This window comes from Homo sapiens, chromosome X, assembly GCF_000001405.40.
Source record: "Homo sapiens chromosome X, GRCh38.p14 Primary Assembly".
Lineage (NCBI taxonomy): Eukaryota > Metazoa > Chordata > Mammalia > Primates > Hominidae > Homo > Homo sapiens.
The window spans coordinates 74276025-74295111 of record NC_000023.11 but is presented as its reverse complement, the minus strand read 5'-3'; the positions used below and the strand labels follow the sequence as shown (position 1 = coordinate 74295111).

The 19087-nt window shown below is 41.7% G+C and overlaps 2 long non-coding RNA genes and 2 other non-coding genes across 5 annotated transcripts in view, besides 3 other annotated features; all 4 read left to right on the top strand.

Annotated features, from left to right (window-relative positions):
* The first annotated feature begins 1537 nt into the window (after positions 1–1537).
* Positions 1538–19087, top strand: part of FTX (FTX transcript, XIST regulator) — a 265439-nt gene continuing 247889 nt past the window's right edge. Inside the window, exons 1-4 of the long non-coding RNA NR_028379.1 lie at positions 1538–1760; positions 13264–13410; positions 14027–14181; positions 14618–14718. This is a non-coding gene — a long non-coding RNA (FTX transcript, XIST regulator). The remainder of the gene's footprint in view (positions 1761–13263; positions 13411–14026; positions 14182–14617; positions 14719–19087) is intronic.
* Positions 2284–3074: an enhancer, noted in NCBI's record as "H3K27ac hESC enhancer chrX:73511873-73512663 (GRCh37/hg19 assembly coordinates)". NCBI's record gives its function as "activates a minimal SCP1, AML or CMV promoter by ChIP-STARR-seq in naive H9 embryonic stem cells {active_cell/tissue: H9 hESC(naive)}" and the evidence as "EXISTENCE:reporter gene assay evidence [ECO:0000049][PMID:30033119]".
* LOC124905199 (uncharacterized) lies at positions 2516–7247 on the top strand. Of its 2 annotated transcripts, none has more exons than XR_007068266.1 (2): positions 2516–3354; positions 4682–7247. It is a non-coding gene; the product is annotated as an uncharacterized LOC124905199 (long non-coding RNA). The 2 variants fall into 2 exon arrangements; XR_007068265.1 differs by lacking the exon at positions 2516–3354 and adding an exon at positions 3361–3501.
* Positions 3866–4657: an enhancer, noted in NCBI's record as "NANOG-H3K27ac hESC enhancer chrX:73510290-73511081 (GRCh37/hg19 assembly coordinates)". NCBI's record gives its function as "activates a minimal SCP1, AML or CMV promoter by ChIP-STARR-seq in naive H9 embryonic stem cells {active_cell/tissue: H9 hESC(naive)}" and the evidence as "EXISTENCE:reporter gene assay evidence [ECO:0000049][PMID:30033119]".
* MIR374A (microRNA 374a) lies at positions 7755–7826 on the top strand. The gene has a single exon (NR_030785.1). It is a non-coding gene; the product is annotated as a microRNA 374a (primary transcript).
* MIR545 (microRNA 545) lies at positions 7903–8008 on the top strand. The gene has a single exon (NR_030258.1). It is a non-coding gene; the product is annotated as a microRNA 545 (primary transcript).
* Positions 10793–11402: an enhancer, noted in NCBI's record as "H3K4me1 hESC enhancer chrX:73503545-73504154 (GRCh37/hg19 assembly coordinates)". NCBI's record gives its function as "activates a minimal SCP1, AML or CMV promoter by ChIP-STARR-seq in naive H9 embryonic stem cells {active_cell/tissue: H9 hESC(naive)}" and the evidence as "EXISTENCE:reporter gene assay evidence [ECO:0000049][PMID:30033119]".

Here is a 19087-nt window from a genome sequence, read left to right as displayed (position 1 = left end):
TAATAAAACCATTAAAACAGAAAAATAACAGAGATAAGAGCATTTGTTAAAATAGTGTTGTAGAATTTGGGGTAAAATTTCTTATATTTTAACTTTTGTGTAATAATAAATGATTATTTTAATTTAGAAGAGGTTCTTTGTACCACTGAGATTTCGGCATTTCTTTTTTATTTAATGCATGCCTATTTCTCTTTTTTCTTCTTCATATGCACATTGTTGTATAATTTTTTGGGCGTATTATATAACAAATGCAAACCCATTTTTCTCTGAATAATGTTGATATAACATTCTTAAGTTAATTTGAGAGGATGGTGATGTATAAGTTTATGAGTTTTAGGATTTATGAATTTGCGGGTCTCAGTTTTTGGTATTTCCAAACTGGCTCTTTTAGAAAGCAATAAGAACCAGACACCAAAGTAAAACATAATAAAGAGAAACAAAATATTATTTTGTATTCTTTCTAGTTCACACCCAAAGAGGGATCTATTTCAGAGCCTCTTAAGTAAATAATGCCATTTCCCTCAAAATTAATATTTGAGTTCTTACAGAAGACAAGAACAGGCCTTGTAGTAAGCAGTGAAGGACATTGAATCTCATTTTTAATGTCCAGACAATACCAGGGTTGTGAATAGAAAGAAAAGAGCTTTCCATGTTGGTGGTCTACTGCCTCTTACCCCCAAATTGATTGAACACTTTTGCAGTTTTTGTTCTGGTTCCCTGTCTCTGGATCTTCCCTGTGGGTCATCATCAAAAAGGTGTTCTCTTTGCCCAAGACAGGCTGGTTGAGCTCACCCTGAGAGCTGCTTTGGAGAGGATGTGTGGAAATATTTTTTTTCTTTTTTTGAGATGGGGTCTCACTCTGTTGCCCAGGCTGGCAACATCATAGCTGGCACAATCATAGCTCACTGTAGCCTCGACTTCCTGGGCTCGAGTGATTCTTCCACCTCAGCCTTCTGAATAGCTGGGAGTACAGGTGCGCACCACCACGCCCGGCTAATTTTTGTATTTATTTGTAGAGACGGGGTTTCGCCATGTCACCCGAGCTGGTCTCGAACTCCTGAACTCAAGGGTTCCGTCCACCTCGGCCTCCCAAAGTGCTGGGATTACAGGTGTGAGCCACCGCGCCCGGGCTACAATTATTTAAAAAAAAATTTTTGCGGTAATTTTTACAAATTTCAACATCAGGCATAGGAGGAGAGGAGTAAGAGGCCCAAGAGGGCTGCAGACTGGCAGGGAAAGTGAAGAATTGAAGGGTAGACCACTAACGATAGCAGAGGAAATAAAGGTAGATGGTGGGCTAAGAATAATGGGAGAGGGATTGACGAAAGAAGTATGGGCTGAGGGAGGGATGATGGTGGAGGCCAGTGTGACCGAGGGGAGGGGAAAGGTGGAAGAAGCAGAGTGGGATAGCGTCCTGGGAAAGAAGTGAAGGAGGTCGGTGGACCGCTAAGGGTTAGACTCCTAGAGGCTGGAGAGCGGCGCGTGGGGGAGGCGGGGCGCGGAGGGGGGGTTAAGGGGCGTTAGCAGCGCATGCGCTGGAAGCACACTGCGGCGATTCTGGAGAGGTTGTCCTTTTCTGGCATCAGCGTTGCGGCTCGAGGCAAAGCTGGTCCTGTGCCTGCTGTCCATTGCCGCTAAGGCCTGCTGCTGCCATTCAGGCGTGTCTCTCTCTCTCTCTCTCTTTCATGCCGCTCTCTCCACCCCATCTTGGGACGGCCAGCTCTAAGAATTCCTGCTACGACACTGAATTCAACCAGGAGGTAAAGGAACGATGTAGGGGAAGAACAGAACATGGAGGGCGGCGGAGGGAACTTGGGCCAGGAAGATCCTTAATTTGTGCATTTTTCCAGTTCACGGGAGGAAAAAATGGAATACGTTACAGGCCCCAGTTTTCCAAAAGGATGTTGAGCATTTGCTTCCCATTGTGAAAGGAATGCGGGTTCCTTTCCTCTAACTAGAGTCAAGGCACCTGAGCATCGGTGTTTTCCATAATGTTCCCTGTTTAAAACATTTGTGGTTCGTCATTTGTAGCAGATGTATTTAAAGGGCGAGGCCTTAGGATTATGTTCATCCGATGGTTTGTGAAAGTTTTCCTTGCCTTTGTTCAGGTTGACCGGTCTTATGTGAATCCTGGGGTACTCTAGCCCCCTCCCTTGGAGTTGGGACCGATTCCATCTAGATCTGGGATTCACTCTGATCACCTGCAACGCCTTCTTTCCCCGATTCAACTTCCCTAGTTTATCGCATCTACTCGCATTAGGGAAGGCTGGTAATGGCTCTCCTTGGGCACTGGGGCAGAATTGTGGCGAGAAACACGTCCAGATAGCATCAGGCATGCATACTGTATACAAATGGGAGCAAGAAGAGAGAGGACTATCGCGGTGCGCAGGGTATTTGAGAGGCTGGATGAGGAGGCGCGGCGCCGAGGGGCGGCGCTCAAGCTTACAGTATTTGAGAAGACCTGAGTTAAGGGGACGGGCTCCAGTGGGGCGGGGGTGGGGAGAGGGAGGCACGCATGCGCAAGGCTTGAATGGCGTCGGGGTTGGAGGGTTGGAAGGTCGGGAAGTGAAGGACTCGCAGGCATATTTAACAACGCAAAGTTGCTAGGAGTTGGTACCAGCGTTTGGGAGGTAGAGGTGGCGCTCATGCATATTTGAGACAACATCTGGATGGTTGGGGAGAACGGTAAGGAGGAAGCGGCGCGCATGCGTATTTCAGACGGAGTGCCGGGGAGGGGAGGCGCTCAGCATTCGGGTAATTAAGGTTGCAAAATGGCGAGGGGGGAGGTAAGCTGTCTTTGCTTGGCCATCTTGGGCTAGCAGGCCTTGCAGAGAACTACCTTTTTAGCTGAGTGAAGGGATCAACCTGAGTTGGAGTTCTCCTATGCTGTGGCCAGATCCACTAGAAATTAACCCAGAATCTTAGCCTCTCAGTGGCCTATCGGTAAGTGGGTACAAAAATGAGGAGGCGATGATGACTCTGCAAAAGGTTGCGGCAGCTGGCGGTGCGTAGGAAATGCGTAAAAAGGGAGCACTTGGAGACAGGCCACATTTGGGCAGTACGCATTCGGAGGGCTCTCTGGCTTTCCGATCTTGGGTCGCTGTACTTGGCTCTGAATACAGTCACCCCATCAGAGTAGCAAAACACTGTGGTTGTAGTGTGAGAATCCAATGTTAATGTTGGCCGAAAGCTCTTGATTTTCTTCCCTGAGAACATAGGCGTGAGGATTTGGATGTGTTTCCAAATGCTTGTTACTCTTTGCCGTAAACCTGGAATTTGGACCTATGGCTGCCTGGGACTCATACTGTCGTGGAGAAAGATTGAAAAGTAGTTAATGGCAGTGGTGGTATGAAGGTAACCTGGGCTTTCACCCTTTCCTTTATTTTTTCTTCTGTAGAACTTTCAGCACGGTTTTGTCAAGGGAGAAGATTAGAGTTTCTATTTTAAAGGCAGATGTACTGTCATGACTCTCTGAAGACTTGCTGTTAATCGCTAAAACTAGTAAGTTAGCACTTAGATACAGACATAGTTAGAAGGAGCACAGGATTAAAAACTGAAAAAAACATCTTTTCCCAGTAATCCTAGCTATTATTTCATGGTGGTCCTTTTCCTTCTCTGGGCCTATTTCTCTCTCTCGCTCATTTATTTATTTACTTTTAGACAGAGTCTTGCTCCGTCGCCCAGGCTGGAGTGCGGTGGCGCGATCTCAATTCACTACAACCTCCGCCTCCCGGGTTCAAGCGATTCTGATATCTCAGCCTCCCAAGTAGTAGCTGGGGTTACAGGTGCGCGCACGCCCGGCTAATTTTTGTGTTTTTAGTAGAGACGGGGTTTTGCCATGTTGGCCAGGCTGGTCTCGAACTCCCGGCCTCATGTGATCCGCCCGCCTTGGCCTCCCAAAGTGCTGGGATTACAAGCGTGAGCCACCACGCCCGGCTGCTGGGCCTATTTCTCTATCTGTAATAATGATTAAACGTCAATAGCACTTACTACGTTCGAGGTTCTGGTCTGCGTGCTTTTACATAGGCCGTAACTCATTTGGTACTCTCGACAATCTTACGAAACACAGTACTGTTATTAAGTTTATACAAATGAGAAATTTGAGGGACACGAGACTAATTTGTTCAAGGCTTTACAGCCAGTTGAATGGCTGAGACTGGGTTTTTATCCAGGTGGGATGGCTCCAGAAGCATGTGCTTTTAAGCATTATGCTTTATTCCCTAAAAAGAGGGGGCGAATTTAAAGGAACCTTCTTTTATGATTTCAAAATTTGTTTGTAACTAACCAAAACCATTTGAGAAAGAAGACCTGTTTTCTGTTTCTGACTGTGCAGACTACAGGGTTACATACCTAGGAGACAAAAGATAAAGAATTGTTGATTTGGTGCCTAGTGGGGTGGCTATCCTTAACTACCCTTGTTTTCTGTGCTTTTTGTTCTGCAGAGGGTCTAAAATGGCCGACTGCGGCAGGCTGGACACACCCTTCTTGTTTTGCCTGATTTTCTGTCTGATCTAATGCTTTGAGACATCTAACCAGTCATTTACTGCAGTAGTTTTTTTTTTAACCCATTATTAGTATTTCGTGTTGATCTAAATATACAATAGTGATGGAAAGGTTATTGTCTTTTTTCTTGTAATAAAAGACTGAAAATACATTTGTTTTATTTTTATTATTTGCTTAGGATACATTCGTGGAAGTGGAGTTAGTACATCAAAGGGTATGAACATTTTAAACTCTCAGTATCTATTGCCAAATTTCTTCCTAAAAAGGTTGTATCAATTTTTACTCATACAAGCGCTGAATGTTGTTGTTTTTTAATTTTTAATGGATAAAAACCAGTATTAATTTTTCGTTTGCCTATTAGTTTGGATTTTCTTCCTCCATATATATCTCAGCAGTTTTCTTTCATGTAATGATAGTTCATATCTTATGTTGATTTATGCGTTGAAGTTTTAGTTTACTGTTTATTATTATCTGTTTGTGTTCTGTAAATAAAGATTAGTATTCAGACTTTTGTAATGTTATAAATACCTACTCCATGTTATTGTTTGCCTCTTAATTTTTGTCTTTAAATTTTTGGCTAGTAGAGATTTGAAATTATTTGACAAATTTATCTTCTATTTTGTGATTTTTATTCTATTGTTTAAATTTGAATAGCTCCCTCAGTCTAGAAATTTGGTAAATATTGTAACTTTGCCTGAGGGTAACTATCAAGCATGGGAGAAAAAACATCCATGATTTTACCACCCAGAGATAACTATTGTTAATACATTTATTCACTTCATTCTCTGCATTTTTCTTTGCAGTTGATAATATATGTGTACTATTTTATATTGTGTTTTGTTTTTAACATTATAACATGCGCATGTCCATGTTAAACATTCTTTGTAATTGTCATTGTTTCATGATGTTCTGTTGTATGGAAGTATTTTACAGATTTTCAGTATTTTAAATTATGTAATGAATATCTTTTCATTTGGTTTTTATTATTTATTTTGGGTTGTTTATCGAAGAGACTTCTAGAATTAGTTATTTGTCAAAAGATTTGAACATTATAAAGAATTGGCATATTTACTTTTCAAAAAATTAATGTCAGTTTTTGTACCCAGTCATTTAGGTACTTATAAAAAATGTTTTTGCTTTTTTTTTTTTTGCTGACTCCATATGTAAATGAATGAATGATATCTCTGTGGGGTTTTTTTGTTTTTGTTTTTTTCTGAGACAGGCTCTCCCCCTGTCGCCTAGGCTGGAGTACAGTGGCGTGATCATGGCTCACTGAAGCCTCAACTTCCAGGGCTCCAGAGATCCTCCTACCTCAGCCTCCTGAGTAGCGGGAGTACAGGTGTGTGCCACCATGTCCAGCTAATTTTTAAATTTTTTTGTAGAGATGGAGTTTTGCCATGTTGCTCAGGCTTGTCTTGAACTCCTGGGCTCAAGTGATTTTCCCACCCCGGCTTCCCAAAATGCTGGGATTACAGGGGTGAGCCACCATACCTGGCCGATATCTTTGTTTTGTGATACAGTTCTCTGATTATTAGTGAGGCTGGACTTTTAGATCTTAATTACTAGCTCTTATTTCCTTTTGTGAATTATTCAATTTGTGCCTGAATGTTATTTGTAAGTTGCAAATGTCGTTTGTTGCAGATATGCTCCCAGTAATATTTGTTGCCATTGAGTCTGAAGAAATGTTTGCAATTCCAAATATAACTGCTGTGTGGATACATGTCTGGTTCTTGGTAGCCATTTTGAGATAACATTTGTCTGACCTCTATCTTATTTTTGTTTTTATTTTTAGAGTGGAGGTCTTGCCCAGGCTGGTCTCGAACTCCTGGGCTCAAGCAATCTTTCTGCCTCCGCCTCCCAAAGTGCTGGGATTACAGGCATAAGCCACCTTACCCAGCCTTGTCTGACCTTTAAACAGAAATCCATTTCTTTTTATCTAAAAGGAAAGCACTTTTGAGTACTGTACAACAGTGGTGCTTCCTGGCTCTGGGCATGGGGAGAAGACAGGGCAACATTTTGTCCCTAATGAGAAACTAATTTAGACAAGAAACAAAACAGCGGTCCCTTCTCCCCCATCCATTCAGGGACTGGTCTTATTTTAAATATTTCTGAGTGGTCTGAGGGAGGATATGGGCAATATTGAAGTGTCCACATTTATACATACTGTTAAATGCTTTGGGGATGTGAAATGCTAATAGGAACACGCTAGCATGTGAGAAGGCACCAGGAGTGGGCTAATTGGCAGAAAGGAACAGTGTATAGGCAAGAGCAGTGAAATAACTTTAGGGGAAAATAGTATGTTAAGCTTATTAAATAACAGCCTCATAGAGACATTGGGTCCCAAAACAGTGATCTCAGTATAACTGTCAACAACTTGCTGATGTTATCAGCCCTATTTGCTGGTCAGAGACAAAAAAGCCAGTAAAAACCTAGGTATTATTAAGAAAGGTATGAGGCACAGAAAAATGCCATCTTATCTTTGTATAAAACCATCTGAACCAAATAACTATTACAGTAATAATCTTGCCTCAAGGAGTCTGTTACTATCACTCACATGATTTTGAAAAGGGAGTGGGCAGAGTGTGTTATCTCTCTGTTTCATTTTTCTTGTTTATAATACATAGGTGAATTAGATATTCTCAAAGGTCTTGGAGGGGTCTAATTCTGGTTTCCTGAAACTGAATGTTATTTCTAGTTTAGAGAATCTGTTTAATTATGTTTATTAAATAAACTTTTCTAACTTATTCCTACTCTGATCTGTATATTATCTATTTTGTATTTAATAACATTCTAACTTTTTTTTTCCAGTGAAGGATGAGGATTATTGGATTTAGAAGTGCCAAATGAGCTATTACTTACTGCTTTTTGCTATCCGGTTACACTGGGTTAATCCAGTTAGTTGTAAGCTCCCATTTTTCAGCATTTTGCTAGCTGTAGATATTAAACCAGGCTCATGTGGGTAGTAGGGTGGGGAGGTTAAGAGGAGTATAAGCAAAAAGGAAAAAAAAAAGCTCATATTTTAGAGGAGGGGATTGAGAAGTTCCTTTATTGGAAGTCTGTGCATGGAAGTCCCATTTTACATCATGCCAGTGTCTAGTTCCCAATTCCGTCTATGGCCACGGGTTAGGGAAAGCCTGAATATTTGAAATAACCGAAAAGCATTTAACCTTTGATTTCTATAATTTGTTCCTCACCTCTCTTGATGTTACAGCCAGCAGCAGCCTGGAGCAGCACCCCCTGGGAAGAAATTTTACATCGGCCATTATAATACAACCTGATAAGTGTTATAGCACTTATCAGATTGTATTGTAATTGTCTGTGTATATGCCTGTCTCTCTTCCTGTTATCAGTTAGACTGTGAGCTCCTTGAGGGCAAGGAAGGTGTCTTCATCTCCAGAGCCCAGCCTGGCACATTAGTAGGCCTCAGTAAATGTTTATTAGATGAATAAATGAATGACTCATCAGCAAACATTTATTGTGTGCCTGCTAAAGTGAGCTCCACAGGCTCTGGATTGTCAGCTGTTTCTTCAAAAAGCATGTGGTCAGAAATTTGATATTTCTGTATATATCTTCCTAAGAGTTTCTCATGAGACAATGCCATTTTTGTGTTTGGATTTCAGTCCTTGATATTTACAGATGTTGCAACTGTTGCTATTGCTGACACTTGCTTTCTTGGTGGGACTTGAGTGATAACTGTTAGATTGGGGCCTCATCCTCAGGGCCCAGGTAATCATCCAAATAGTATTCTTAGATAGGACTTTGCATTTTTCTTTCTTTTTTTTTTTTTTTTAAGGGACAGGTTCTCACTCTGTTGCCCAGGCTGGAGTGCAATGGTGCGAACACGGGTCACTGCAGCCTCGAACTCCTAGGCTCAGGTGATCTTCCACCTCAGCATTCTGAGTTAGGACTATAGGTGTGTGCCACCACCCCTGGCTAATGTTTGTATTTTTCGTAGAGAAGGGGTCTCGTTATGGTGCCCAGGCTGTTCTTGAACTCCTGGACTCAAGCGATCTACCTCCCTCAGCCTCCCAGAGTGCTGGGATTACAGGTGTGAGCCACTGCACCCAACCAGACTCCATATTCTAAACCAAGGGTGGGCAAACTTTATTGCCCATGGGCTACCTGTTTTTGTAAATACCATTCTATATTGGAACACAGCCATGTTCATTCATCGATGTTTTACCTGGGGCCGCTTTTGCGGCCCAGTGGCACAATTAAGTAGCTATTAGGTTGGTGCAAAAGTAGTTGCTGTTTTTGCCATTAAATATATTGGAGACATTGTGGCCCACAAAGCCTTTGTAGAAAAAGATCTGTGCCCACTCTGGATCATCACTCGACAGTGATGGTTTCATTTCTCATTCCATTCACCAGACCAGAAATTCATATTTATTTACTTCATTTGTCATTGCTTGTGACAAGTCTTTTTCCTCTTTTACAGATAAGCCAGCTAAGACATGTTTTAAAGTAGAAGATTATAAGACCTCCCCCAGGGTCCTGCAGTCAGTCAGTTATACCCTGCCCTTCAACATCAAGCTTTGAACCTCTACTCTAGAAATACCTTTTATTATATTCAAACTTGAAGCACGTGGACATAGCATGCTTTGGTGCCTTCGTCCTTGCCCCCCTCCTTCCTACACAGTTCTTTGCAATGAGAATATGGGAAATAAGGACTTAATGTGAGATAAGGCAGAAAGGTAAGCTGAGGCAAATGTTTAGAGGGTCCCTAACACTAATTTTTAAATGAAGAAGTGGGGTGTCTGAAATACTCATTTATTTAGATGTATACAGATAGTGAGCCTAGACTTCCAAGAGCTTAGAGCCCCTCCCCTTGTGCCTCCCCAACTTTACATGTACTATCTTGGTAACCTGCCTATGAATACATGTTGATTCATTTCACTTCATTAAAAAGTCGGAGAGCTCAAAGTCATATTTGAGAAAGCTAAATCTAAAACAAAATGGAGGAAACACTGAATAGGTTCATCTCGTTGGATAGGATCATCCTAGGAATAAAATATAATAGAAGGAAAGGTCTTACAGCCATATTTTTAAAGCTGCTTGCTGGATTTTTCCCAAAATTGTATTGTGAAAGTTGTCAAACATACATACAGAAAAGTTGAAAGAATTGTACGGTGAAAAGCCATGTACCCAACACCTAGATTTTATAATTAACATTTAACTATACAGTCATGTGTTGCTTAAAGACAGGATATGTTCTGAGTAATGGATCATTAAGTCATTTTGTTGTTGTGTGAACATCATAGGGGAGTGTACTTATACAAACCTAGATGGTATAGCTTACTACACACCTAGGCTATATGGTATAGCCTATTCCTCCTAGGCTACAAACCTGTACAGCATGTTGCTGTATTGAATACTGTAGGCATTTGGAATACAGTGGTAAGTATTTGTATATCCAAACATATCTAACATAGAAAAGGTACAGTAAAAACGTGGTGTTATTATCTTATGGGACCACCATTGTATATGCGCCTGTGACTGAAATGTTACTATAAGATTCAGGACTGTTTGTGTTATCACAGTAACTCATCTTTGTTGAATAGGTTTTAAAAATCTGTCTGTCTTCTGTGTTAATGTCATCTGTATCTGACCCATCATGGTGCTGAAAAAGCTTCTTTTCATTCTTATTTTTGTCTTCTAAGTCAGCATGAATACCAGCACAGCCCAACTATGTGTAAGCAGATCTGTGCAGGAATGAGAGTCCCAGGGAGAGAATCCACGTTGTTTCTGAAAGAAAATGGCTATAGCTCACTGTTGTTTACTGGAAATAGTAGGGGGAAGGAAAGATGGAAGTCCAGGTCCAGTGTCATATACTGCCCTGCACCTTACTCACTTCTCTGCCTTTAGGGTAGGTGGTTTTCTGAGCAGCTTCTGCTTGGTTCTCTCCTTTAAGGCTTGCTAAAGGAGAAACAACAATGTCATATTGAAATGCCAATGAGGCAATATTTAGCATTAGAATAACTTTGGAATTCTAGCAAATGGAATTTTAATTTGGGCTACTGTCTAATAGTATTCTTTGAGCCTTTTCTGTTAGCAACAGCTGCAGTTTCAATTAGGAAGCACCATGAAATTTTGTTTATCTTTATCCATGGACATGATAATGGTAAATGTTACCTGTTTGTGTCTCTCTCCTTTGATTTAAACTCAAGGGTAGAGATGTGTTTTACTGATCTTTGCAAATCTCTTACACTGTAAGATTTGTATTCATTTATAGGGATATACCCCCAAATATATGTTTAACATTATTTAAAAAAAGATTTAGATATGGGCATATTCACGGTGTTCATAACAGTAAATAATGGAAAAACTTACCTAGTCATGAATAGGAACTTGGTTAAATACATTTTGGTGTATTCATGTAATGGGACAGCATAGCCATTAAAAATAAAAATAGTCTTGAAGATAAATATTTGACTTGGAAAGAAGTATACAGTATATTAATTGAAAAAGGGCTAAAGGGCAATAGTATAGTTTCATCTAATCATTGTAAAATAAGAATTCATGTTTGTGTATGTACATGGAAGTTGTTGGATGAACATACCCCAAGTGTTAAACTTTTCTGGGATTCTGGCTGATTTTTTTTTTTGAGACGGAGTCTTGCTCTGTCGCCAGGCTGGAGTGCAGTGGCGTGATCTCGGCTCACTGCAACCTCCGACTCCCTGGTTCAAGCAATTCTCTTGCTTCAGCCTCCCGAGTGGGATTACAGGCATGCGCCACCACGCCCAGCTAATTTTTGTATTTTTATTAGAGACGGGGTTTCACCATGTTGGCCAGGATGGTCTCGATCTCCTGACCTTGTGATCCGCCCGCTTCGGCCTCCCAAAGTGCTGGGATTACAGGCCTGAGCCACCGCGCCTGGACTCTGGCTGATTTTTACATTCTTTGCCTAATATAGTTCTGGAATTTTGTTTTTTTTTTTGCAGTGTTCATCTATGACTATCAAAGTTAGAGGCACATTGAAACTATTTCCATTTTGAAATTGTTGACCTGAACAGAAGTGGAATAAATGGGGGTGGTGAGGGGTTCTGGAAACTGGAGAAATTTAGTTTGGAAAAGAACTGGGTGGGGTGGGGGGAAGGGAATGGTGGAAATAAGATCACTGCCTTCAGAGGAAGGCACTAACTACCACCTACCCCTCTATTCCTGGCTCCTTAGTGCAAGCATTTTCTGGATCAGTGTTTACACTTCTCATTTATTTCACAGTTAGGCCCTCTACACATTCCTTTTCTGCCCTTGTCCCTCTGGGCTTTAAAGCTACAATAATTGCTAGTGGCAGCAGCTGCTTATGAATATGCAAGTCTTGCTCTAGTAAATGGTGGCCTTAGTTGCTCCAATAAAGAGATGGCTCAAACCTATCAAGGCTCCTGCTTCCCCTCTCCTCTCAGCTAGGCAGCACCAATCTTCCCTATCTATGGTGGGAGAACTTTCTGCCTGGGTCTCATGGTCACTAGTAGATTAGAGGACAGATACTTTCTTGCTGGTGGTAGGTAAAACAGTTAAAAATGAGTCCTGGGTAACTGCTCCTTGGGACTTCCAGGGGTTTGAGTTGAGGGTTGCCCTCATCTCACTGAGTAACAGGACACTTAGCAGTATTGGCTTGTGCTGCCAGCATATAATAATAACAGTAACCTGGGCTTTGGGCCATTGCTGAATTGCCAGATTTCTGGGTTACTTTTCATGCTAAGCAGCTAGGGACTGAGAAACTTACAGGCAATAGGCTGCTTCCTTAGAAAGAAAGGACCCTTTGGCCGGGCAGCGTGGCTCACACCTGTAATCCCAGCACTTTGGGAGGCTGAGGTGGGTGGATCACCTGAGGTCAGGAGTTTGAGACCATCCTGGCCAAGATGGTGAAACCCCATCTGCTAAAAATACAAAAATTAGCCGGGCGCGGTGGCAGGTGCCTGTAATCCCAGCTACTCTCACACCACTGCACTCTAGCCTGGGCGACAGAGCAAGACACTGTCTCAAAAAAAGAAAGAAAGAAAGGACTCCTTGATGGTCTTTGGCTTGTATCTCATGACTCGAGCCTGTTACTCCAGTGGTTGATTCTTGGAGTTAGGGGCATAGCCACTGGTCTGCCTAGCTTTTTGTGGTCCTATTGATAACCCAGACAGCTGGGTGAGGGAGCAGATAATGTTCAATTCCTTTTCACTTAAGGTAAGGTGAGTCGTGGTGGGAGTTGAGATTGTAAATGATAGGGTCTTGGTCCAAGAGCCCAGAGTTTTGTAACCTTTTCCTATCAGTGTGAAAACCAGATGCCATCTGATGACTAGATGAAGGTTTCATTCACCTTTTGCAGGCTGTTTTGATCAGGACTAAAGAATGTAGGTTCATTAACTACCAGACACAGAAGGGCCACTAAGGGGTCAAGTTTGCCCACTTATTCAAAGCGATATTGAAGTCTAAAGAGGGGAAGAACTTGAAGGAAACTATGAAGATAAGCACTGGAGTTCACATCTGGGTACTAACACTTTGGTGTAGTCATTGGTACCTCTGTACCCAGGTTCTCTCGTTTAAAATAAGGGCAGGAATCCTTACTAACAATTGTAGACCTTGCAACTGCCTTTGCCAGAAAATATAATTGTGATGCTAAGTGTGAATGCTTAGCAAGAGTAAAATCTGAGATCCATGGTGTGGCTGGCTGGATAACTTGACTAAGGTATAAAAATAAAATTAAAGCTGGATCTCAAACCTTGACTGTTCCATCTTACGTTTGTTTCTTTTCTTCTCCCTGTCCTATAGGTGATGCCACACTCAATCAGAAACTATGCTACTGCTGAAGAGGTATATTGAGCCCTGCCTGGTTAACCTCCAGTGAGGTTATTAGAGAATTGGGAGAGGCTCAAATCAGCATCCTGCACCTAGTTATCAAACCATTGTGAAGTCTTGGTAAGTGGCCAGTGGCTTTGGTGGGCTTGCCCAGTTAGTGGGATGGGGTAGGGTAAGAGTGCTTAATAGGCACTAAGCAATTACTGGATATTTTCACATTATGATATGAAAAAAAAGTCTTAAAATATTCAGGCTGTACTACAGAATAAAGAGTCTAACCTCTTTTTTCCCTATTCTCCCATTTTTATAGATGGGGGAATTAGAAATTGCCCAAGATTATATGAGACCACAGTAGATGGCACAAATTGCCCAAGATTATAGCTAGTTGGCATAGAAAATGGATTTGAGTCCAAGCCAGTACTGTGTCTTCTACTCAGTGCTTCATCTAGGTTCTATCAAATCCAAGGAAGCCATGTGAGACAAAAATGTTTTTATTTCACAGTAAAAGATTTTTTTTTCTTTTTCTTTTTTTTAAATTAGAGATGGGGGTCTTAAACTATGTTGCCCAGGCTGTTCTTGAACACCTGGGCTCAAGTGATCCACACACCTTGGACTCATTTCACACTAAAAGATTCTGTAATAGCTCCTGAGATTTTACTCCTCTGATGTTGGAAATTTCCATAGTGTGAAGTTTTGTTATGCATAAAATCACCTGGGGTGCTTGTTAAACATGCAGATTCCTGGATGGCCAGAAAACTTGTCATTGGTCAAGAGCAACATTAAGATCTGCCTGTTACTCATACTGATGCTTCCTGCCCAGCAAGTTCATCAGAGGGCGAGGATGAATTACGGTTGCCATGAATGTCCTTGTGAGGCAGTTGGGAAGCCTTGGTAAGTTGTCAGTGGCTTTGGTGGGGTTCCCCAGTTGGTGGTAGAAAAGAGAAGGGAAACTGGTCGTGATCTGGCCCTTTCTAGCTTTCTAGCTTATTAAGTACTTACTAAGTGCCAGAGACTGTTGCAGATATTAACAAAGTCTTACCATGGAACTTTCATTCTTGTGAAGTTAGACAAAGGGATAAGTAACCAGTAAATGTATAATGTATCATAAGTGTTATATCAATTGTTTTTTCCCATTATAATGTAAAAAATTGCACTTAAAAATGGTTAGGTTAAACTAAGCAACATCTTGTGTTTTTCTCCCTTTTTCCCATTCTCCCTTTTAATACCTGCCACAGTTGCTCAATGCAATGGAGGCTGACCAAGCTGAGTGTCAGGAAGGTCATAGATGATGCAAACACTCTTTTCTCTTTTTGTAACTTCTCACTAGGCTGGATTGTGAAGGATATTTGAAAAGTATTTTAGAGTCCACCAGATCATCCATGTGAGTGACCATGCAGCAAAAGAAGGAGGGTCCTCTCAGTGATTAAGGTAACATAGTGATTAAGGTAAGTAGGGAAAGAGAGGCTTACTTTGCCCTGATTCTTGTCAGGGAGGCTCTTAGAGATGCCATTTCCAGAGCATAAGTGACAGGCCAGCATTTTCAAAGCTTGCAACTTATTCTATAATATATCCTTCTTAAAACAATTCATGTAGATTATATGCTCACCCAGTCTGGGATCACTCCTGCAGAAGATCAGAAGAACTGAAATATAGGTGACATAAGCTCCTGCTTTTGTAAATGTTTTGTTGAAACACAGTTGTGTTCATCCATTATTGTCGATGGCAGCTTTCATGCTACAGCAGAGTTGAGTAGTTGGGAGAGAAACCAAATGGACCATAGAGTTTGAAATATTACTGTCTGGCCCTTCACAGAAAGTTTGCCAATTCCTGGCATAGGTTAAATAAATGTACTATATCCACAAATCCTCCTCTCCCCATTTTCCTTTCAATGGGACTTGCATTTACAGTTGATCCTAGAATGTATGGAATCTCATAGTAATCAGCTTGCTTCTGAATTTCTTCCCACTCAAATTAAGCTCACTCAGAAAGCACATTCACAAATTGGGCTACATATACAGAAGGAGCTATGTTTTATATGCCTCACTGTAGTCAACTCATTTATCCTATATGTATGGTTCCCCCATTTTTTCCTTCTTTTCAGGGGTAACTTTTAAACTTGAGCCATTCATGAGTATCCAAAAAGTTACAACTTATGTTCTCTAATTAAGACTTCATCCTTATTTTAGTATACTTCCCCTCTCTGGCTTTTTTGCATATTTCTGCAGATGTCTTGACCTTTCTGGGGAGTAAGCCCCCTTAGAAGATTAATTTTCTGTAGTTCTCTATTGAGGAAATACATGACATTTAGCTTTTTAATAATTTGATGCCATTCATTGAGTACCTACTGTGTGCTTTATGTACCCTGTCTCGTTGAATTTTTACAAAAAACTGAAAGAGTTAGTTTTGTGTTATTACTACCTCCATCTCAAAGATGAGTCTTGGAAAGCTTAAGTAACTTTAGGTCACATTGTAATCAGTGGCAGAACTGGGACTTAAGAACATAATTCATGACTGCATTTTCTTTTCTTTCTTTCTCTTTCTTTCTCTCTCTCTCTTTTTTTTTTTTTTTTAAAGAGATAGCATCTCACTCACTATGTTGCCCAGACTGGTCTTGAACTCTTGGGCTCAAGCAATTCTTCCACCTCCGCCTCCCAAAGTGTTAGGATTATAGGCATGAGCCCTCATGCCTGCCCCTTGCATTTTCTATTTAAGTGATCTTGAAGTTTTTTTTTTTCTTTTTTAAATCTCGGAATTTGGCCTTTAGTAAGCATAGAATAGCAAAGTGTAATACCTGAGCTGGGGGAAAAAGTCCTTGAATTCTTTAGGAAAGACTTAATTGGTGGGTACAAAGTGAAATGCTCACTGGAATCAGGAATCAGAAACCAGTTCTGATCACCTATCCCTACATATCCTTCTTCACTCTGCCCTGGCATATCATGGTTGATGTACATAGCAATGATCATCCCTTCTGTAATCCCACTTGACAGTTTAGAAGTGGATTGATAATACTCTTCTGGCTTAAAACCCTTCTTCTCTGGGCAGGTGTGGTGGCTCCTACATTATCCCAGCACCTTGGGAGGCCGAGATGGGAGGATTGTGTGAGCCCAGGAGTTTGAGACCAGCCTGGGTAACATAGCAAGACCCTGTCTCCACAAAAAAATAAAAAATTAACTGGGCACGGTGGTGCTCACGCCTGTAATCCCAGCACCTGGGGAGGCCGAGGCGGGTGGATCACGAGGTCAAGAGATCGAGACCATCCTGGCCAACATGGTGAAACCCCGTCTGTACTAAAAATACAAAAATTAGCCAGGCGTGATAGCAGGCGCCTGTAGTTCCAGCTATGGGAGGCTGAGGCAGGAGAATCAGATGAACCTGGGAGACGGAGGTTGCAGTGAGCTGAGATCACGCCACTGCACTCCAGCCTGGTGACAGAGTGACACTCCGTCTCAAAAAAAAAAAGAAACGATCACATCCAGATGTCCTGTTACTGGAAGGGCACCATAGTTTATCCTGCACCTAACACTAATACACCTACTCTGGGAATTCTTCTACCTACAACTATTTATTTATCTGATCCCATCTGGTATTAAAGTTCTAAAAGTTAACAGAATTCTTAAAGGTTCCCAATGCCTCCCAGAAACCCCATCATCTCAAAATCACTAGCTATTAAAAGAAGCAAAAAAAAAAAAAAAAAAAGGTGGCTCCTGACCTAGTCTCTTTGAGTATGAAGACCTATTTACTATGTAAAGCTGTCACCTGCCTTGAAAAGATTAAGACAGCAAGAAAGTTCTTAGAAAGTGGGTATGTGGCTGGCCTCAGATAAGGATAAATTGCTGAGAAGAAGGAGTTGGGTTTTTTTTGTGTTTTTTTGTTTCTTGTTTTTGAGACAGGGTCTTGCTCTATCTCCCAGGCTGGAGTGCAATGGTGCGATCACAGCTCACTGCAGCCTCAACCTCCCAGACTCAAATAATCCTCCCTCCTCAGCCTCCCAAGTAGCTAGGACTACAGGATGCACCACCGTGCCCATTGTTTCTATATCAGGGTCTTATAATATGGCAGACACAATGGCCTCCCACAGAGAAATGAGCCATAAAAGGACCCTGTAAAAGCAAGGATGGCTCATTGTTTTAAGACAGCCAAATGTATGGCACTTGGAGAATTTCAAAGAGTAGAAGGCCTTCTTGATTGCACTCCCCTTTAACAGCCTTGCCTCTTATGGGGCTATGTGGATCGTTGAAATGGTTCACAAGTAAAGTGAAAAATGGTTATGCGTAGTGTGTCAGCCCCACCCTAAGCTCCCAGAGCCTCCATTCTGAGTACAAAGGTCAGTTTTCTTCTCGGGACAGGCCAAGGATGATGGGGTTTTAATTTCTCTCCTGATCCATGGCAAAGCATTCCTAAACTAGGCACTGGAAGTCTTGGTAACTGGAAAGAGACATTCACCAAGATGAGGAAGGCCAAAACCAAGTGCCTTATATAGTCCCTAGAAAGCATTTCATTTTATGGAACAATCTTTGGTCTCTCTTTTTTTTTTTTTTTTTGTGAGACAGTGACTCAGGCTGGAGTACAGTGATTAGGTCACTGCTCATTGCAGCCTCAACTTCCCGTGCTCAGGTGATCCTCTCACCTCAACTTCCCGAGTAGTTGGGACTGCAAGCAAGCGCCACCATGCCCAGCTAATTTTTTGTATTTTTTTGTAGAGACGGGGTTTTCCCATGTTGCCCAGGCTGGTCTCAAACTTCTGGACTCAAGCAATCCACCTGCCTTCGCCTCCCAAAGTGCTGGGATTACAGGTGTAAGCTACCATGCCCAGCTCTGGTCTCCTTTCTTAATCCTGTTGAATAAGGAAGATTTTTTTTATCTGAACCCTCCTCTTACTCTTCTTTCTGTTCTCCTTCCATGATCACTTTGTCCATCTTCCTCTTTGTCATAGGCATGTCCTATTTCTAATTCCCTTTCTCTTTTCTTTGGTAGGCTAGCCTTCGAGACTGCATTACCCTCCCCAACTTAAAATCTTTTGATAACCCAGGCAGCTGGGTTATCCCCAATTTAAAGTCTTTTTGTTGTAGCTGTATGGCATTTATCTAGAGCATGGGGTACACACAGTAGGTTTCTCTCCTCTCTTTTTTAACATATTTATTATGTTTATGCATGTAAAGAGTTTGTTGTTGGCCAGGCCTGATGGCTCACGCCTCTAATCCCAGCACTTTGGGAGGCTGAGGCGGGAGGTCAGGAGTTCGAGAGCAGCCTGGCCAACGTGATGAAACCCTGTCTCTACTAAAAATACAAAAATTAGTGGAACAGGGTGGCTCATGCCTGTAATTGCAGCTACTCAGGAGGCTGAAGTAGGAGAATCACTTGAGCCTGGGAGCTGAGATCGTGCCATTACACTCCAGTCTGGGTGACAGAGGGAAACTCTGTTTCAAAATCAACAACAACAAAAAAAAGTTTAAAAATTGGAAACCACCAAAAGGTAGTATTAAAAGGGAAATAAAAATTACTCATAATCCCAGAACGCAGTCATATGCTATTTTTAGTCTTATTTTATTCAGCCATTTTTCTCTTTACACAAACTTTTTTTTTTTTTTTTGAGATGGAGTCTCACTCTGTTGCCTGAGCTGGAGTGCAGTGGTGCGATCTCGGCTCACTGCAACCTCCGCCTCTTGGGTTCAAGCGATTCTCCTGCCTCAGCCTCCTGAGTAGCTGGGACTACAGGCGACCGCCATTACACTCAGCTAATTTTTTGTATTTTTAGTAGAGACGGGGTTTCACCATGTTCACTGGGCTGGTCTCGAAC